Source organism: Homo sapiens, chromosome 10 (assembly GCF_000001405.40).
Source record: "Homo sapiens chromosome 10, GRCh38.p14 Primary Assembly".
NCBI classification, from domain to species: Eukaryota; Metazoa; Chordata; class Mammalia; order Primates; family Hominidae; genus Homo; species Homo sapiens.
This window is the reverse complement of record NC_000010.11, coordinates 3,664,003-3,685,225: the sequence shown is the minus strand read 5'-3', so window position 1 is coordinate 3,685,225 and position 21,223 is coordinate 3,664,003. Positions and strand designations below refer to the sequence as shown.

Here is a 21,223-nt window from a genome sequence, read left to right as displayed (position 1 = left end):
AAATACAGTTTTTCTACCAAGGGGGCTACTCCTGGCATACCATTCAGAGCTGAACCTCTCCAGGCTCCTAAAAGAAGTTCAGGAGCCTTGTTAGATGGTGATGAATTGACCTGTCAAAGTTCCACGACAACAGATGATAAGTCACTCTGACACCAATGCCCCAGTGAACAGCAGGATATTGAAAGTAACATTCATCTCTGAATTTCCTGAGCCTTTATTTTCCTTCACTTCTTTCTTTCTATCTCACCTCTCCCTCTTACCCTTTGTTTTCTGTCTTTAGTTTATTTCTTGAACTATTTTCTCTGAAATACCTTTAAGCCTAATAACATGGAACAGAAGTGAGTACAATATCCATTCTATGTATTGAATTACATTTTACATCAGCTGCTCTTATTTTAAACTTCAGCTGAATTTCATATCTAAGTACAATTTTAAAAAGTGTGTGCATTTATATCTTTGTTAATTTTTATTTTGTGGATCGGTAATTTTTGGGGGTAAGTACATTCATTCAAAGCACCACCATCCCTTGTTAACACTGGTTACATTAGAGAGTAGGGCTGAAAACAGCAAAATAAATTTAAATAACTTATCATTCAAGCCTCAAATAAACTCAGTCTGACCACTGTCCATGTTGACCTCTAATTGTATGATCAATTTAATGGAAGATGCAGAAAAATTGATCTGATCATTAAAAATTTCCCCTAAGGCAATAGAAAACCAACCCAATACTACCCAAGGAGGGACTGAGTCTAAGAGAAAACAATGGCTGAAGGTTAGAACACATTTTCAAATGTTTTTGAAGCTACAAAACTCTTTCTTTCACATCAATCTTACCAAAAAGTGTAATATCTAAATTACGTGACAGGGGTCATGCTGATGGGCCCTGGAACCCAGCCAGCTCCTCCTCTCCCCGCAACCTGTCCCCTTCTACATGTATGCAGACCCCGAAATATCCCCCAGGCCCACCGTGGAGCACCTGAGAGCCCTGGAGCATAGTTTGTAAATGATCTCCTTTGAGTGAGTTGGTTTGAGGTTAAGCCTGATGAAGTCGGGAAAATTCCGTTGAGCCTGAGTTTTGCCCTCACAGCATCCGTGTGGTGGACCAAGGCAGAGTTTTCAACTGCAAAAAGCTCACTATGGCCAGTAGTGAACAATGGACATTGGGGCACACTTCCCAACAAGTACGGTTTGCTACATCCTAGGGCCTTGAAAACTGCACTACAGTACATACTTGAAGTGATACTGGGCACGTATTAGCAATACGACATTTTAAGAGATATTGATCTCAAGTTTCTTTTCAAGGGAACTTTCTGGCTTTTTCCATTGAAAGACAGCATCTCTTGCTACTGATATTTTCTTTTCTTTTTCATATATTTTTAGTGGTATGTGTCCCTGATTCACCCTTTACTCCAATATACAGATGCAGACAGAGACACCAGGATGCACGCATCGTAGTCTGTGGTAGTCCAGCCTGGGTGTCTGCTTTCAGTCTGTGACTAAACACCACAAACTATATAGAACAAAAATATTCAATCAGTCAGGGTTTTATGTCACTCTCTGTTGCAGCTGTGAGTTTTTAACGATACCCAAGGAAGGGCTTGCTCCAGGCAGTGCCATTTCCACTAGCCCCCACCCCACTTTGTCCTTGACCTTGACCTTCGTGGCCATGGCCCACCTGCACCCACTGCTTGCTTCTCTACCTGGCCATCAAGTCACCATCCTTGGCCATTGGGAATGATGCATAACCATAGCCACCCCACCCAATCCGGTGTCCTTGATTCTGTCCCTGCAGCGTCTCGCAATGGATGGTGCCCCTGGTTTCTGTCTGTCTTAGCTTCACCTGTCCACAGCAGCTCTAAGCTCTGCCTGCACAGGACACACCTGTCATCTAGAATCCCATCATTCCTAGCCTTTGCTCTTTAGCCTTCTCTTTCAGTTTCATCCAGAATTAGCTGTGGCCTAAGCACCCTAGCCCTCCCTAGGTGTCACCACTATCACCGATTGGCTGGAGGGATTACAAAGCATATGCCAGGAGATTACATTAAATTTGCAGAAACTTGCCTCAAGGAATTGACTTTTATTTTCAGTTAGAAACAACTAATGTCAGTCCTCCAGTTGTCAAAAGAAAAACTGGTTCAAACCATGCCACTTGCTGTTGTCAAAATAACGAATGCCAAGAGTATTTTGAAGTTTTGCAGAGACAGTCATTGTCCTCAAATGTGTATTTAGCTGCCCCACCCAGACCAAAAGAACACCCATTAATGTGTGATGGGAGAGGATCTGGTTCTATCAGGTAAACACCGGGTGCATGCGTTACTGAATTGTACTGAGTTATTGAAATTCTGTTGCGCCATATAATTATGTTGTTAACATTGCCGGTCACACCTATAGCTGGAAATGACTGTACGCAAATCATGTTTTCCAGAAACACAAACTTTGTGAGTTATGGAGGAAAAAAATCTCCATGAATTAAAGAAATCCACTTAAGATTTTCTCTTTTTTTATTCCTTAAAATATATTAAGAGGCAAAAAAGATCTGAATTGAATATCACGACGTGTTTTATTCAACAGAAAATGCAAACACATTTTTTCTTTAATTTTGCCAATATATGGAGACAATCACTTTAACTGGTGGCAACCAGTCTGTTTACAGATTTTGGTTTCAATTGGTCTCTCGGGATTCCATGGAATTAAGTTTCAGAAACTTTACCTCAATTCTTGCTGGGTACAATCGAGGCCGATGCAGTTTCCTTTATCTTAACCAGATACTACCCTTGCTCTCAGTGTTCTGGGACCAAAATGTTGCCGTCCACTGGAGGCAGCTGAGGCTGTGTGTTAATATGCAGACCGTGACTGCCTCGCCGGTGAGACAGAGCACGGAGGATCAATACGTCTCTGCACATCAGCTCTGCACACCCACGGGAAGCAGCCGCCTGCCTGCTGTGTGACCTGCGGGCTTCTTGGTTTCATTCCCTTGTCACGGCCTCTTGCTCCAAGACACGCTTTTCATTTTGTGTGTTCCCTGCCCCTTCTGCAAATGAAAGAGCCAGTAGAAAAGATCAAATGCTTCACTGCTGTGTGGCACTACCTGAGTCATGGCTGGCAGAGACGCAGCCCAGGGCAGAGCTGTTCAGAGCCACCCCTGCGCCACAGCTGACCACTGATGCCACCGTGAAAATGCGGGGCCGGGTCTCAAATCAGAACTCGGAGCCAAGGAGAAGGAAAGGAAAAGAGAGGTGCTATTAGGTGGGGAAGAAGGGACTGTTTATCTGTTGCTTTGTGTCTGTTCTCTTAACTCTATTACTATTATTAGTGTTAATGTGATTAGCCCTCTGTACTTGTTTGGATGAAGCTGCAGAGATGTTATGGGTAACAGCAACAGGCAGTCACACTTGCTAATCGCAGCCGCCTGGGCTCACACCCCAATCTCTTAATTATAGGCCTAGTCTGTAAGAGACAAAAGCCTGTTCCACTGCAGAACCCACATGCTTGACATTTTGCCGCTGAGGATGCTCTCTTTATTTCTCTCTTCCTTTCTGAGTTCAGGCCTCCTTAATTGCAGTTTTCCTAAAATTTTTCACATGTTAAGATCCTTCTTATGTAAAGGTTACAAATGGAAAGCACCTTGTGATTTTTCCAGTGGGCTGTCATCCTAACTTAAAGTTTAGAGAAAATCAAATCAAGAGGATGGCAATTAGTGGAAGCTTGTGACTTGCAGCCTTCCCCCTCCACTCCTGAGTTCTTAATAGCATTTTCCCTGGGTGGCGGTGGCCTGCAGACTCATCAATGACTCAGGGAATGGCATAAGCACTTTTTAGCCTGCCCTGCTGAAACCCACCGCAATCTCCTTTGTTAATTGCTGAAAACTTCTGTGATGGCATTATTATTATTATTATTATTATTTTATTATTATTGTACTTTAAGTTTTAGGGTACATGTGCACAATGTGCAGGTTTGTTACATACGTATACATGTGTCAAGTTGGTGTGCTGCACCCATCAACTCGTCATTTAGCATTAGGTATATCTCCTAATGCTATCCCTCCCCGCTGCCCCCACCCCACAACAGTCCCCGGAGTGTGATGTTCCCCTTCCTGTGTCCATGTGTTCTCACTGTTCCTGTGTCCATGTGTTCTCACCTATGAGTGAGAACATGCGGTGTTTGGTTTTTTGTCCTTGTGATAGTTTGTTGAGAATGATGGTTTCCAGTTTCATCCATGTCCCTACAAAGGACATGAACTCTTCATTTTTTATGGTTGCATAGTATTCCATGGTGTATATGTGCCACATTTTCTTAACCCAGTCTATCGTTGTTGGACATTTGGGTTGGTTCCAAGTCTTTGCTATTGTGAATAGTGTCGTAATAAACATACGTGTGCAGACCTGCAGCTGAGGGTCCTGTCTGTTAGAAGGAGAATGAACAAACAGAAAGGACAACCACACCAAAAACCCTTCTGTACGTCACCATCATCAAAGACCAAAAATAGATTTTTTTTAAATTAAAGGCAAGAAATATAAAGATGGTATTTTTAAAATGGCATTAAATTAGGTGGCATTAATTTATCACATCTTCTGCCCCGATGTGATTTTGATGGCGTGAACATCAGGCTGCTGTGTACAAGGAGAGTGGCTGCTTTCAGGGCTCATGGTCTCCAGGGACATTCGCAGGAAAATCTATTCAGACAGAAGATATTGTGTCAGGAGCAGCCAGGTCGCAAGGCAGCCACGTCCTTGGCCTTCTCGGGGATTTAACATGTTAACACAGGCTGGATCCTGCGATAGCAAAGCTGCAATTGCTGGTGACAGGGATGAAGACCTCTGAGCTCACTCAGAATTCCTGGCAAACAAATCAAGAGCTGTGTGCATCGCCTGGGAGGTGTCACGCATTCAGGGACACCATTAAGTTGTTTCTAAACTCTGCCTCTTGATAAATCCCCAGTGGCTTCTTGAATTGAGTTCTTAAAGTACTAACATCTTAAGTGAACCTCAAACAATAACAACAGTGGACTATGGCAGAGGGCATTATATATCACTTTAATTTATTCCTAACTATGCACATACAGTTGATATTTTGAGGTCATTTACAATGTTTCCACATTCATCACCAGTAACATAGGGCTGACACTGTTAGGTGGGTCATGGAACAGCTTATCGTAAATTATTACTCCTATTTACCTACTTACACATTCACTGAAGAATAGAATTTAGTATATATGGTAGATCTATCTCAGACCTTGTTCAAAGATACTCATGCCTCAAATACAGCCTTTGAGCACCTGCTATGTGCTGTGTGTGAGAAGCTGTTCCAGCGTCGTGGGTCTGCCCAGGGCTTGAAATTCAATTTTTTGTGATTGTCCTGGGTTGGGCTCTCTGGTAGCCAACACTGAGACAAGGTGTGTATTAGGCATCAAGATACAAGGTGTGTAATGGGGTGCACATTGGGGTGCAAGGTGTGTAATGGTGCACATTTGGGTGTAAGGTGGATAATGGTGCACATTTGGGGCGTAAGGTGTGTAACGGTGTACATTGGGGTGTAAGGTGTGTAATGGGGTGCCCATTTGGGGTGTAAGGTGGATAATGCACATTTGGGGTGTAAGGTGTGTAATGGTGAACTTTGGGATGTAAAGTGTGTAATGGCTGCACATTTGGGGGTGTAAGGTGGATAACGGTGCACATTTGGGGTGTAGGGTTTGTAACGGTGCATATTGGGGTGCAAGGTGTGTAATGGGGTGCACATTTGGGATGTAAGGTGTGTAACGGTGCACATTGGAGTGTAAGGTGTGTAATGGGGTGCACATTTGGGGTGTAAGGTGGATAATGGTGCACATTTGGGGTGTAAGGTGTGTAACGGTGCACATTGGGGTGTAAGGTGTGCAATGGTGCACATTTGGGTGTAAGGTGTGGATTAGGGGTGCACATTGGGGTGTGAGGTATTAGGTGCACATTTGGAGTACAGAGTGTGTATTACGAGTACACATTTAAGGTGCAAGTTGTGTAATGGGGTGCCCATTTGTGTGTAATGAATGTATTGGGGTGCCCATTTGGGGTGCAAGGTGTGTATTAGGGGTTCCCATTTAGGTGTAAGGTGTGTAATGGGGTGCACATTTGGGGTGTAAGGTATGTATTAGGGGTGCACATTTGGAGTATAAATTGTGTACTGGGGTGCACATATGAGGTACCAGGTGTGTACATTTGAGGTACCAGATGTGTAATGGGGTGCATATTTGTGTGTAAGGTATGTATTAGGGGTGTGCATTTGGGGTGTAAGGTGTGTAATGGGTGCACATTTGGGGTGTAAGGTGTGTAATGGGGTGCACATTTGAGGTACCAGCTGTGTAATGGGGTGCATATTTGGGTATAAGGTATGTATTAGGGGTGCACATATGGGGTGTAAGGTGTGTAATGGGGTGCACATTTGGGGTGTAAAGCGTGTATATGGGGTGCCCATTTGGGGTGTAAGGTGTGTACTGGGATGCACATTTGGGGTGTAAGGTGTGTAATGGGGTGCACATTTGAGGTACCAGGTGTATAATGGGGTGCACATTTGGGGTGTAAGGTATGTATTAGGGGTGCACATTTGGGTTGTAAGGTGTGTAATGGGGTGCACATTTGGGGTGCAGGGCACGTATTAGCCATCAATACCTGTGAGGGGAAGGAGTGAGAGCAGGAAGTCCAACTGTCAGGTGTCCTCCCCTGGGTGGTCCTGGGTCACCAGGGGCTGCCCTGGGGGTGTAAGGCCGGGTGGGCTGAGCAATGTGTGACGACCCCACTCTTTCCTGGAAGGGTGGGCTCTGGCAGCAGGTCTCTGTGTCCACACACAAAAGGAGGTGAGGAGAAAGCTGAGAAAGCACCGTCTAACTGCTCAGGAGCTCAGAGAAGAGGCAGAGGACGAATTCACTCAGGTGAGGCAGGGAGGCCTCAAGGGGATGCCTCATAGAAGAGGCAGGATTTTAACTGGCCCAGAAGGAGGAGTAAGGTTAGATAAGGGGAAAAGTGAACTCAGCATTTCCCAGGCAGAGGCAAGGACCTAAGGACAAGTTGGGGATGTGGGGGTGGAAAATCACATTTGAGAAATGGAAATAATTCAGACAGGTCCAAGGTATTTGAGAAGAGACGGAAAAGGGGGCTTGCTATGCTCTGAATGCCTGTGTCCCCCAAGCTTATATGTGTGACCCTAACAAAAAACCCACCGAGTCTTACTCTGTCACCCAGGCTGGAGTGCAGTGGTGCAATCTCGGCTCACTGCAACCTCCAACTCCAGGGTTAAAGCAATCCTCCCACCTCAACCTCCTGAGTAGCTGGGACTAAAGGTGCACGTCACCATGCCTGGTGAATTTTTGCATTTTTTTGTAGAGATGGAGTTTCGCCATGCTGCCCAGGCTGGTCTTGCACTCCTGAGCTTGAGTGATCTGCCTGCCTCGGCCTTTCAAAATGCTAAGATTACAGGCATGAGCCACGGCGCACAGCCGTATCTGCTGTTTTGAAGAACATCTAGACTACTTGGCTCCTTGTATTGACAGTTGTTCATGGTCCAATGGATGAGCTGAACTTCAGGATGACTATGGAAGTTGATTCTGAAAAGATCTGTTTTCAAAAATGTAGAGTGGCAGGTTATACTCCTTAGAGACTCTATGTCTATGACTCAAGTCCTGTTTGTGTTGCTGAATCAGTCAGTATCTGCTATGCAGGCAGTGGTTTGCCTTGATTTAAGGAGATCTACAACATCCACTTGGGAAATGGAGTCGGTAGAATTTATTTATTTACCCCACAGAATTCTTTACTTGACTTGAATGTTGGTGGTCTGACTTAACCAAATAATGATCTATATATTTATATAATATATTATATAGAATGTATGTAAAAGTGCACACTGATGCATATACACACATATGCACACATATACATTCATACATATATGTACACATATATACATGTGCACACATACACATGCATGCACACACACAGCACACACATGCACAAAATTGCTCCTATGGAAACTAAGGGTGACATCTGTTGCTTGGTGAACTTACTCTGTTACTGTGTCTGTGCTGATTCAAACACCAGCAAAAAATCACCCTGCTCAGCTCCAGGGAGCTTTGGAATCAGAACGAACAAAACTAAATCTCTGCTCTGCTGTGTCCTAGCCCAGAAACACTGGGCAAACCCTGTCCCCACTGAGCCTGAGTTTGCTCCTCTGCTTTAAGAATTCAGTGGTACCTTCAGCTTGTCCTGCCGTCTCCCAAGTGCACCTGCCGTAGGAATGGGTATTCTCTGCTCCCAAGAGCTCTCAGACTTGCCCCTGAATTTATACAACAACTTTGTTGAGATGTGATCGAGGTGTAGCAAAATGCATCCATTTTAGGTGCACGGTTTATCAAGATCTGGAACGTTTACATTGCCCTTCAGGTGCTTGGTGACTCTCTCTAGTTCATCTTCTGCTTTTGTCTGCCCCAGACACCCACTCACTGCTTTGCATCACACTCGATGAGTTTGGCCTCAGCTAGAATTTCATATACACAAATCACAGGCTGTGGCCTCCTGTGTCTGTCTTCTTTCACTCGGTTGAAATGCTCTGGCCTCTGATCATGTTGTTGCATGTCATCAGTGGTTTGTTTGTTTGTTGTTTATTTTAATTAATGAGAAGCAGTCCACTCTACAGGTGTCACAATTAGTTCATGCATTCACGGGTTGATGGATATTTAGGCTGTTTCCGGTTTGGAGCTCTAGCACTTTGGCAAGCGTGTATCTAACTTCATATAGTAATTGTGTGTTTAGCTTTATAAGGAATTGCTAATCTGGTTTGCAAAGTGGCTGTGCTTGCTCCAGGTGCACACCTGCACTTGTATCTTCATTTGCTTTTTTTTTTTTGAGACAGAGTCTCGTTCTGTTACCCAGACTGGAATGCAGTGGTGCGATTTTGGCTTATTACAACCTCCACCTCCCTGGTTCAAGCAATTCTCCTGTCTCAGCCTCCCAAGTAGCTAGGATTACAGGCGTGCACAATCACGCTGGGCTAGTTTTTGTGTTTTTAGTAGGGATGGGGTTTCGCCATGTTGGTCAGACTGGTCTGAAACTCTCAGGTGATCCGCGCACCTTGGCCTCCCAAAGTGCTGGGATTACAGGCATGAGCCACCGCGCCCGGCCCGTTTGCAGTTAATGTTGGTCTTGGGCCACCGTGATGGGTGAGGATGCTTTCCCATGGCGGTTTTGACTTGCAGCTGTCCAGTGACTGACGGCAATGAGCATCTTCTTGAGCTTCCTGGTCACTTGTGTCTTCTTGGGGTGAAGCATCTGTCTGATCACATCTCTTGCCGTTTCTGATGGTAGGACCTATGTATTATGAATATTCTCTGTATCTGTGCCTGTGTTTTCATGTCTTAATAATGCAAAGGTTGTAAATTTTTATAAAGATCAACTCATCCGTTTTTTTAAAATTTTATGTTTTTCTCTCTTGCATCTTGCCCATAAAATCTTCGCCTAGGACTGAGTTAGATTGAGTTACAGCAACTCATTTCTCCTAGGTGTGCTTTTAAAGTTTAATAATTTTAGGTTTTATGTTATGATATTCATTTGTGTATAATGTGAGGTAAGAGTTGAGGTTCCCTTTTTTTCACTTGTTATCCAATTATTCCAGCACAACTTGCTGAAAAGAGTGTCTTTCTCCACTGAATTAATTTAGCACGTTTCTCAAATTATCAATCAGTCATACATATGTGGCTCTACTTATAAATTTTCTATCAGTTTCACTATCAAAATGTCTATCTTAGTGTCATTGATTATGTGACATTAGTGTCGCATAGTCAATTACTGTAGCTTTCTTTTTCTTTTTCTTTCTTTTTTTTTTTTTTTTTTGAGACAGAGTCTCGCTCTGTTGCCCAGGCTGGAGTGCAGTGGCGTGATTTCGGCTCACGGCAACCTCCGCCTCCCGGGTTCACACCATTCTCCTGCCTCAGCCTCCCAAGTAGCTGGGACTACAGGCGCCTGTCACCATGTCTGGCTAATTTTTTCTATTTTTTTTAGTAGAGATGGGGTTTCACCATGTTAGCCAGGATGGTCTTGATCTCCTGACCTTGTGATCCGCCCGCCTCAGCCTCCCAGAATGCTGGGATTACAGGCGTGAGCCACCACGCCGGGCCAGCTTTCTTTATAGTAAGCATCACATTTGGGCAGGTTAAATCCTGCAGCCCTGTTTTTCTTTTTCAGAATTATCTTGGCTACTCCAGGATTTTTTTTTGTTTCCATGGAAATTTTAGGTTAAGCTTGTCTAAGCCTACAAAAAGTCTTGGTGGGGCTTTAATTGAAATTGTTTTAAATCTATAGATCAATTTTGGGGATGATAGCATCTTTGAAATATTGAATTCTCTAATCTATGAACCTAGTATAACTCTTCATTTATTTAGGGCCCCTATAATTTTTCAAACAACATTTTATGGTTTTCAGTATAAGATCTTACACACGTTGTTAAATTTATCCTTAAATATTTTACTTTTTTGGATGTTATTGCTAATGGCATTAAAACAAATGTATTTCTATTGTTTGTTGCTAGTGTATAGAAATGTAATTAATATTGAATATTAATCTATCCTGTGAGCTTGTAAAAGTATTTATTTATTAGATTGAACATCTTTTTAAAAAGAATTCCTAGAATTATCTCTGCAAACAGTATGTTGGCTGTGGCTAAATACAGTTGTACTTCTTCCTTCCCAACCTGTTTCCCTTTTATTTTGTTTTTCTTGTCTCTTTGCACAGCCTAAGACCACCATTAGATGTTGAATAAAAGGACTGAGAGCAATTTTTCTTGACTCACTCTTGATCATATGAGAAAATAATTCAATATTAGACAGTAGATATGACGTTAGCTGCAGGTTTTTCATAGATATCCTTCATCATATTGAAATGTTTCCTTTTCTTCTTAGTTTGTTGATTGTGATGATTACAAATTGATGTTAAATTGTGTCGATTGCTTTTTCTTTATCAATTGAGACAATCATATGATGCTTATCTTTTTTCTTCTTCTTTTTTTTTTTTTTTGAGACAAAGTCCCACTCTGTCGCCCAGGTTGGAGTGCAGTGGCGCAATCTTGCTCACTGCGAGTTCCGCCTCCTGGATTCAGGCTATTCTCCTACCTCAGCCTCCCCAGTAGCTGGGACTACAGGCACCCGCCACCACGCCTGGCTAATTTTTTGTATTTTTAGTAGAGACAGGGTTTCACCGTGTTAGCCAGGATGGTCTTGATCTCCTGACCTCATGATCCACCCGCCTCGGCCTCTCAAAGTGCTGGGATTACAGGCGTGAGCCACCACGCCCAGCCCTGTTTTCTATTGATATGGTGAAATACACTAATTTTTGACAAATGAACCAACCTTGCATTGTTGGGATTAATCCCACTTGGTCATGAGGGATTGTCTTTTTTTACATATTATTGGATTTGATTTGCAAATATTTTATGAATAAATTTTCAGGTACATTGTAAGGAATATTAATCAATGGCATTTCTATCTTCTTTATCTAATCTTTTTATAAAGATAATTAATTAATAAAATAGGTTCAAAAGTAATCCCCTTTACAAGATTTTCCACAACTTTTTGAAAGAGCTTACATAAAACTGGTATTGTTTCTTCTCAAAGTTTTTACAGAACCCACTGATAAATCAATCTAGGTCTGGACTCTTCTTCATCAAAAATTTTAAATTAAGAAGCCAATTTAAAAAATAAATCTAGAGCTAGTCATAGTTTCTATTACTTCTTGTGTCAGTTTTTGATAACGTGTCTTTCAAGTAATTTCTCAATTTTATCTAAAATTGTTGAATCTATTGGCATAATGCCTACATATTTCTTTGTATTTCTTCTAGGTATATTAAGTAGTTATGTTATTGTAGTTTGCAACAGATCACTAACTTCTTGACAAAAGGAAAGGGTGAAGAAACTTACAGATTCAGATTTTATTTTATTTTTTTGAGATGGAGTCTCACTCTGTCACCCAGGCTGGCGTGCAGTGGTGCGATCTCGGCTCACTGCAAACTCCGCCTCCTGGGTTCAGGCCATTCTCCTGCCTCAGCCTCCCAAGTAGCTGGGACTACAGGCGCCTGCCGTCAAGCCCAGCTAATTTTTTTGTATTTAAAGTAGAGACGGGGTTTCACCATGTTAGCCAGGATGGTCTCGACCTCCTGACCTCATGATCCACCTACCTCAGCCTCCCAAAGTGCTGGGATTACAGGCGTGAGCCACTGTGCCTGGCCTAGATTCAGATTTTAAAAGAAATTACCAGTTAAAAGTCAATTTGAAATTTTCATTTCTGAAAATTGTTTGTAAATCAATTAAATAAATAGGATTCAGGCTGGGCATGGTGGCTCACGCCTGTAATTCCAGCACTTTGGGAGGCCGAGATGGGTGGATCACTTGAGGCTAAGAGTTTGAGACCAGCCTGGGCAACATAGTGAAACCTCATCTCTACTAAAAATACAAAAATTAGCCAGATGTGGTGGCAGGTGCCTGTAATCTTAGCTACTCAGGAGGCTGAGGCAGGAGAATTGCTTGAACCCGGGAGATGGAGCTTGTGATAAGCTGGGATCGCAGCACTGCACTCCAGCCTGGGTGACAGAGCAAGACTCTGTCTCAAATAAAAATTAAAAAAAAATAGGATTTTGTTTGCAAGAAGTTTTGTGAAGATAAAAAAAGACAGTGAAGAAGGACACTGCAGGACGGATGCTGCATTCCGGGAAACAGCCTGAGTCGCAGAAGCTGGTTGCATGGTCTGCTCACCAGTTTAACTGAATTACAGGAATCTGGTGTAGTGCTAGTGGGAGACAGTGCCAAAAAGAAAGACGTGAATCAGACATAGAAAGCTGCAGTGACCAGGCCAGAGCATCAGAGCAAACTCCACCATCAGTGAGGACCTCTGCAGGCAGTGGTTATGCCTTGGGGACAGTGATAATTTGTTCTATAGATACAGAACCATACGCATTTTGTAGGACAGTGTGCCCCAAATAGTGGTGTGCCCAGAGATTAATTCAATGGCATCTAAATGCATATTTTTATTTTAATATTTATGTGTTCACTTTAGTGGATACAATAAATACACAACATACACACAAATCATGCTATTTAAAGAAAAAAATTGATTCATGTATAGCACCAATAATGAACAAGTATGGCTAAAAGAGAAAATCATGATGGTGACAAGAAGACGGCACTTCAGGGGCTTGAGTGCACTGACTTTCAGCTACTCCCCAGGAATCAGAGCAATAGTAAAAATGGCTAATATTCACATAAACCTTGCTGTGCATTAGAGACTCGTAGCGGTTCTCACTACAGTCCTATTTGGTAGATGCCACTGTTACCATCTCACAGGTCGGATGCCAGGGAGCAGCGAGGTGAGGGAACCAGCCCTGCAGCCAGCGTGCTCAGGGGCCACGCGTTCAATGACGATTGCTTAACTGCTTTGAATTCCACCCTCCCGAGGTCCCTCCACCACCTCTTCAAGAGGGGAGGAGCTTCTTCCCTTGGATGTTCCCTTCAGAGAAGTCTCTACTTACAGAGCTTTTCTGATTTGTGGGGGGTTTCATGAAAGTGAAATAAATTACAAAACTGGTCTGGAATCTCTTCTTACAGCGCCGTTGTAATCTCTGTGCCAGTAATCCCTTCCCTAAAGGGCCCAGATTATAAATATTGCTCCATGGCACAGCAGGGAACTTCCCTCTAATTTACTGAACTTCCTCTGTCTTTTCTCCTTTCGAGCATTCTTTGTACAGAATCATGTTAAGTACAACAAATAATACAAAATAACAGTGTTGTCCACAGCTACAATGTAAAACCAATTTCTCTGCTCCACCCCACGGTCCTTATCATTCCCATGCCCATGGCACCCAGTGCCATGTACTTGCTGCTTTAAAAGGGCATCACATTGTCCATGGGAGCTACGGATGCTGGAGGTATTCCTGTCCCAGCTCTGGATGAGAATGTTTCTGGGAGTCCGTCCAGCCCTGAGTCCCCCAGACCCCCAGATAGTTCTCCAGAGACAGCCTCTCAGGAGTGCCCTGGCTGTCCTGGGCCTCAACTGCCTGGCTAGGGCCATGATCCAGGTGGACACCTAAGCCATTGTGAGCCAGTGGATCTTCTGTCCTAGAAATCAGGAATCAGCACTGGGTGACTTGGCGTCCTGCACTAGGGCACGTGCAGGCCCTGCTGTGCCACAGGGTGAGCTGTACGATGGGCAAGTCTACGTATGACGTTGACTGATTTGGTGGGAGCATTGGGACAGCAGGGAGAAGGGGACACCAGCTGTAGAGAGAGAGAATAATCTTCAAAACCCCGACAGATTTCCATGTCCCAGTTCCATCTCCTTTGCATCCCCCAGTAAATACCCTTTATTTTTACTTAAGCTGCTCCTTCTTGGCCCCATTGACCCCGTGAGCAGCCACTCCCCGATGGACACCCTAAGCCTTGTGCTCTCTGGGGATAGTGAGTGAATTTTCTACGTTTCATCTTACTGAGACTGGCCGGCAGGTCCCTGACCTCTGGCAAATTCTGCTGCAATGATTATTCTGACTCAGTTTGTTGGTAAAACTGCCTTTTGGTAAGGGAGGGGAAAACATCACAATCCAGATCTCCTTTCTTCCTCTCAACTCCTGCGCAATGTCGTGTTGTCTTTTCTAACTTTTTTCTGCCTGCAACACATTTCATGTGTCCATTCATTTGTTCCTTACTTCCTTTCTTTATTTACACATTCGACAAATACTGATCATATGCCCACTACGTGTTGTTCCAGGGGCATGGGGGATCCACCGAGAACGAAACAAGTGCAAGCCTCTGCCTGGTGGAGTTTGCGTTCTTGTTTGGGGAAACTGACCAAATACAGAAGTCATGAGGAGCAGCCTGTTAGAAGGTGAATGGTGCTGCGGAGGAAAGGAACAGCAGGAAGAAGGACGGAGAGCGGGAGACAGGAGGTGAGGAGGTGGAGAGGCAAGTTACGCAGATACACAGCAAGAGTGCTCCAGGCAGGAGGGGCCCCTGTGAAGGCTGCAGAGCTTGAAGACACACAAGGAGGTGGCTGGATCCAGAAGAGCAGGAGGAGATGTTGTCAGAGGGACGGAGTGGTGGGTTTGTGGGGCATCTGAAGGCCAGTGGGAGGACTTTGGCTTTTGCCCCCAGAGACATGAGGAGGCCTTTGGGAGCGTGGAATAGCAGAGACACATCTGAATCATACTTTCTCTCTTCACTCTGACTGTCATGCGAAGAAGGGGGGTTGGGGTTGAAGGCTACAGAGGGGTGAGGTGAGGAGGTCACGGTGTGCCGGGTGACCCCTCCCAGGGAGGCGGCAGCAAAGGCGCCAAGACCTAGGACTCTGGGTCCTTGTTGCAGGCATATCTAGAGGGATGATTGTGACGGCAAGAAGGCAAGGCTGGCAGGGAGAACACGTCCAACCTCATATCCCCTCTGTGATGGTGTGAAAAGGTCAGACCAGCGATAGGCTTGGGCGCCATATCAGTGTCTTCCTCTAGTAAATAACGGAGACAGCGGCAAGCAGTTCCATGTGCATGTGGTTCTTAGCACCCACATACCTAACCTGACTTTTCATGTATTTATTTTTGTTGAGACAGAATTTCGCTCTGGTTACCCAGGCTGGAGTGCAATGATGCGATCTCAGCTCACTGCAACCTCTGCCTCCTGGGTTCAAGTGATTCTCCTGCCTCAGCCTCCCGAGTAGCTGGGATTACAGGTGCCCGCCACCACACGCGGCTAGTGTTGTATTTTTAGTAGAGACGGGATTTCACCGTGTTGGCCAGGCTGGTTTGATTCTCACTTTGATTTATTTGAGGAAGCTTGTATTATCATTCCAATTTAGAGATGAAGAAACGGGGAAAAGAGTTTAGTTGAGTTGCCCAAGGGGACATAATTTGGATATGATGTCACAATTTAAACCCAATGTGAGGAGCATCTTGCAGAGTTGCTGTGAATAGCGAAGAAAAATGCAAGCGACTTCAGGGTTTGAAAATATTATATGAGTTTGTACGAAGATGTGCTATTTACAAAACACGCTTGTTTCTCAAGCCTTATTTAGCAATGCTAGGTATGTTTTTTTCTGATAGCAGTAAGAACAGGAAGGAACAGATGAACAAAGAGACCACAGGCACATTTGATGTGTAGTATTTCCATCTTTGGGGATGTTACAGCTATGTGACTATCTATTTAATTCTACATTAACATAACTTTATTTGACTCAGAAAATCAATAGACTATTTTTCCAGGCTGCAGTTTGGCAACAACCTATGGCCTGAGAATCGAATGACTTAAGATCCATCCTGGCTTCCCCGCCGGCTGAAGTGCAGCCTCTGGGCAGGCGACCCGCAGAGTTAGAGCCATCTGAGTCCCGGGCCAGCCTCACCTCCAGAAGGTGATGCCTGCTCTTTGTTTTCAGACCACACAACACACACAGGGGCGGGGCTTTGCAGAGCGCTCTGGCCTCCAACACGTATCACCTATACGCTAAACAGTTACTTTTCCTGTATTGTGTAACTTACCCAGAAACTTGCGTTCAGCAAGCCTCCGGGGATAAAAATACAATCCTACCGTGTAAAAATATCCTTTCTTCTCGGATTTTCTCTACCCCTTCTAGAGTTTCCCCCAGGGCAGATGCAAGGGGGCACTCTCCTGGGCCTCAGCCTGCCTGGTCTCCCTGAACTGAAGCCTGCTCGACAACAGTACGGGATTGCACAACACCCCCGCTCAGCTCCAGCCCCCGATCTGGAAGCTGCTGAAGAGAGAGATACCTCGACTTTTATCTGATTCTCCAACTCTCCGCATTCCAGAAAAGCAACTCAAGATCTAATTTGCTTAGTCATTTAGTTGAAACTGCAGTAAGAGAGGTGGCAGAGAAAGTGAAGCAGTAGCCAAATTAGATAAGGAAAAAAAAAAGTGAAAACATGTTTCGTTTTGTTTTTTTAAGATTCAAATAAAAACCATGATTTATTTATTTATTTATTTATTTTTTATTGCTCAGGATTAATTTCCCTGCTGTTTAAAATGTCCACAAAAGGCTGGGCACGGTGGCTCACGCCCGTAATCCCAGCACTTTGGGAGGCCAAGGTGGGTGGATCACGAGGTCAGGAGATCAAGACCAGTCTGGCCAACACGGTGAAACCTCGTCTCTACTAAAAATACAAAAATTAGCCGGGCATGGTGGTGGGTGCCTGTCATGGCAGGAGAATCACTTGAACCCGGGAAGCAAAGGTTCCAGTGAGCTGAGATGATGCCACCACACTCCAGCCTGGGTGACAGAGCGAGACTCCATCTCAGAAAAGAAAAATGTCCACAATATGCAGTTATGGGACAGAAATGACCCTGTCCACCTCTGTATTCATTCCTTCATTCTCCTTTCACTCGGAGGGCGAGTATAAAGTCCTCGCAGTACATGGTGCCCTGGAATAGAGACTGCATTTCCATGGAGATTTAGGGGAAAATGCCAATTAGTGTCTGAATCTTCTTATCACCGCTCAATGTAATGAAACGAAACAGGCATTCCCCAAGTGCCCATGGTACCTATGCAACGCCAACCCCTAGTTTGGGTAGAGCAGAAAAAATTCTGAGAACAGAAAAACCAAGTGTCTGTCCAAATGGTTTGTTATAAGAGAACAAACTTCACTTTCTGCCTCGACGACTTGTGGGCACGCAGAGAGGAGGCTACCAGGAATCTTCTGCTGTGGATTTTCACCTGAGCTGTAAGTGTGAGCACCTCCCTCCTTAGTGCTCGGACTTGGAACAATCAAACCTTGGGCTCTCCGGCATCACAGAGACAAGAAAAGCTTTTCTCTGTTGGGTAAATTATTAATCGTGGCACTGTATCCCCCTTGACATCAATAAAGTCACGACAATCAATTTGTCATGGTCCAGTGTGTGCTCATGACCGACTTGCCCTGTAATGTAGGTCAAACTTGGATTTGATGCTCTGATAACCAGAGACGTGGGATGAAAGTGGGGTTTCTCCTGGTCTGGCAGAACATGGCTTCCATGTCTGAAGCTTCCAGGAGGCAAAGCACATCGGCAGAGCAGGGAGCTCAGCCCTCGACGCGGGGCAGAAGAGCCACAATGCAGGAACTTACTATCCACAGTCACTACCACGCCGCTGTGGTTGCACCCAGGGAAGGAAGTGGAGAGAAAGGCACGGCTGGCTTGGAACTCCTGCTTCTGGTTCCGTTTTGCTGCATCAATAGGTGAAAAATAACTTTTTTTTTCCTCTAAGGAGAGAGTATCAGAATAGAAATAGTGTATCCTCCAAATATATTTCAGAAACAGGGAAAAAAGGAAAAATGCTTAATCAATTTCTCTTAAAAAAGAAAAAGAAAAAGAAAAAGAAGCAGCAGCCAGCAGGCAAGTGCGGTTAAGAGTGACTGAGCTGGCTTTTCCCCTCTGCCAGGCTGCCTACCTGTGTGGGTTGGAGCCAGCCCTGCAGTGCAAAGCTGGGTGGGCAGAGCCTACCTACTCCTTTTCAGCAGCAAGCCTTGTGAATGGCCCGGCCGGGGCAAATAAGCCAGGTGACTGTGGTGAAGCTTCCTGGGCATCCACCTGCCCCCATCTGCCGTGTTCCCTGCACTTTGAGGCTTCCAGGTGTACAGCTATTTGAAGCCACTCAGACACCAGGGTTTGCCTCCATCTGCCGTCCTGGGGAGACACTGGCTGCTCCTGACATGGGTGCTGGGTCTGCCTGGAACAGCCAGAGGCGTGGCCTCACCAGCATCCTCTGAGCTGGGTGAGCTGCAGGCAGGGACTCTTCTGCAGCCAGTCCCGAAAAGAGCAGGACACGCCTGTGGGAATGGCGCGGGTCTTCCACACCGAGTCTCTGTGCATTGTCCGAGACCACCTCCACGGGGGGAACGGCTCGGGAGTCAGGCATTGTCCGAGACCTCCTCCACGGGGGGAACGGCTCGGGAGTCAGCCAGACTGGGTTCAAGTCCGGGTCACCACTTAGCAACTGTGTGTTTTGGGCAGTTTATTTAATCCTGTGTGTCTCAGTGTCCTCATCCGTGAGACAGGCACCTTGATGTGCGCAAAGGTTAGTTGAGATAATATGAGAACTCCCAGGCTGAGGGTATTTCAGTGACCATGGCTGAATAATCAGCATCCAGGGGCCCAGAACTACAGGTCACAAACATGCACCGTATTCTGCTCACGGGTTCTGTAGCCAGGAGCTCCCGCACGCACAGAGCGACCACTTCTCTCTGGTCCTCAGGGTCTGGTGGCCCCAGGGCCAGGGCTGGAGTCTTCCGCAGGAAACTGCCCACCTCACTCATGGCTGCAGGATGCTGCTATTGTCTGGGACCTCAGCTCGGCTGCATCATGTCCCCCAAAATCCAAATCCATGTGCAGACGTCCTGTCCCCCAGTGCCTGAGAATGGGACTGTTTGGAGACGGGGGGCTTTAAAGAGGTGATTAAGGTGAGGTGAGGTCACTAGGGTGGACTCTAGTCCCATCTGGCTGGTGTCTTTGGAAGGAGAGATTAGGGCACAGACACAGGCAGAGGGGTGACCCTGTGAGGCCATGGCAAGAAGGCGGCCGTCTGAAGCTGCAGAGAGAGGCTTCCGGAGGAAGCAACTCTGAGGACACCTTTATCTTGGACTCCCAGACTCCAGAATTATGAGAATACAGGTTCCTATCTTTGAAGCCTCCCGGCCTGTGATGTGTTGCCGTGGCAGCCTGGCCGACTCTCACTGGGGGACACTGGGAGCGCCCTCTCCATGGCCTTGGCTCCCACTGGCTCGGTTCAAGAGGCCAAGTGATGTCTGCGTGGGGCGTCAGGGCCCACAGCTCACGTGCTGTCAACAAGGCAGACACTGCAGCATCTCTCACCTGCCTGGGGTAGCTCAGCCTCTCGTGCCACCATGACTGTGAGCCATGAGCCCTCCCAAATGCAAGGGGTGAGTGGTCCAAGGCTGCGTCTTGATGGGGGAGGGGGCGTTTCCAGAAGAGAATGTGGGACAGGGATGACTGAGGCCAGTTTCAGAAAACCGTGCCTGGCATGGAGGTTTATGTCATAAGCATTATTTATGACATAAGGCAAATAGACCACAGAGCCTTTTCCTCCCAGGCTGGGCGGTATCTGGGGATGCTCACTGCTCCGTAGTCGCCTCGGGGTCCATCCGTGTCATCACAATCGACAGGATTTCCTTCATTTCATGGCTGAAAAGTATTCACACACTTCTTCCTGGGCTCCAGCAGTGGTGGCACCTTGGCACCTCCCTTGAGAAAGGTTTAAGCTGCACCTCGGACCAGCTGCCTCATGCTGAGACTATGCTGGTCAGTGCTACCATCGGTGTGTGGCCACCTGATGCCAGTGGAAAGCCCTAGGAGCCCACATCCCAGGAGCAGAAGCCGCAGTCTCCTCGCTGCACCCCGTGTGCTCAAAGGAGCGATCCTGAAACACCCTCCAGACGCCACTACATGCAAAGCTCGTTGTGCTTCAATAAAGGCCCCGGCAGCATCCATCAGGAGATCTCTGAACAGCCTCAGGGCAGAGCTGGAGGTCATTAGTGCCACCTGGCTCATCCCATATCCCTTTTGGAAGGCTGATCTCCAAGCAAAGGTCTTCATGACTGCTGCAGAACATGGATTCACTTGCTTATTCTATCAACAAGCAGGTATGGAATATCCACGAGGTGTCACCTACTGTACCAGGCCCAGAGTAGCAGACAAAAATGCCACTTTCCCCACCTACAGAGCTTATAGTCGAATGGGGGTGCAGACTCTATAAATAAACATGCAAACGTATTTATATTATTTACCAGCATCTTATAAATTATGACAAGTTCTCTGAAGAAAATGACAAGATGGGAAAGAAGAGAACTGATTTATTATAACTGAAGAATTTCAGGCATAACTTCATCCTTAATTCTTTTTTTTTTTTTTTTTTTTTTTGAGACACAGTCTTTCTTTGTCACCCAGGCTGGAATGCAGTGGCATGGTCTTGGCTCACTGCAACCTCTGCCTGCTGGGTTCAAGCAATTCTTCTGCCTCAGCCTCTCAAGTAGCTGGGATTACACGTGTGCACCACCATGCCCAGCTGATTTTTGTATTTTTAGTAAAGACTGGGTTTCGCCAGGTTGGCCAGGCTGGTCTTGAACTTCTGGCCTCAAGTGATCTCCTACCTTGGCCTCCCAAAGGTGCTGGGATTTCAGGCGCGAGCCACCGCAACTGGCCCTCTTGATTCTTAAAGAAAACCATTATTCAAAGTAT

The 21,223-nt window shown here is 45.6% G+C and overlaps 1 long non-coding RNA gene across 1 annotated transcript in view, besides 2 other annotated features; it reads right to left on the bottom strand.

The window, feature by feature from the left end:
- The window catches only part of LOC105376360 (uncharacterized), a 432,070-nt gene that overhangs the window by 65,539 nt on the left and 345,308 nt on the right, over positions 1-21,223 (bottom strand). The window lies entirely within an intron of this gene.
- Positions 33-233: a silencer, noted in NCBI's record as "peak845 fragment used in MPRA reporter construct". NCBI's record gives its function as "represses an SCP1 promoter by STARR-seq MPRAs in K562 erythroleukemia cells {active_cell/tissue: K562}" and the evidence as "EXISTENCE:reporter gene assay evidence [ECO:0000049][PMID:32103011]".
- Positions 16,382-16,883: an enhancer, noted in NCBI's record as "H3K4me1 hESC enhancer chr10:3710535-3711036 (GRCh37/hg19 assembly coordinates)". NCBI's record gives its function as "activates a minimal SCP1, AML or CMV promoter by ChIP-STARR-seq in naive H9 embryonic stem cells {active_cell/tissue: H9 hESC(naive)}" and the evidence as "EXISTENCE:reporter gene assay evidence [ECO:0000049][PMID:30033119]".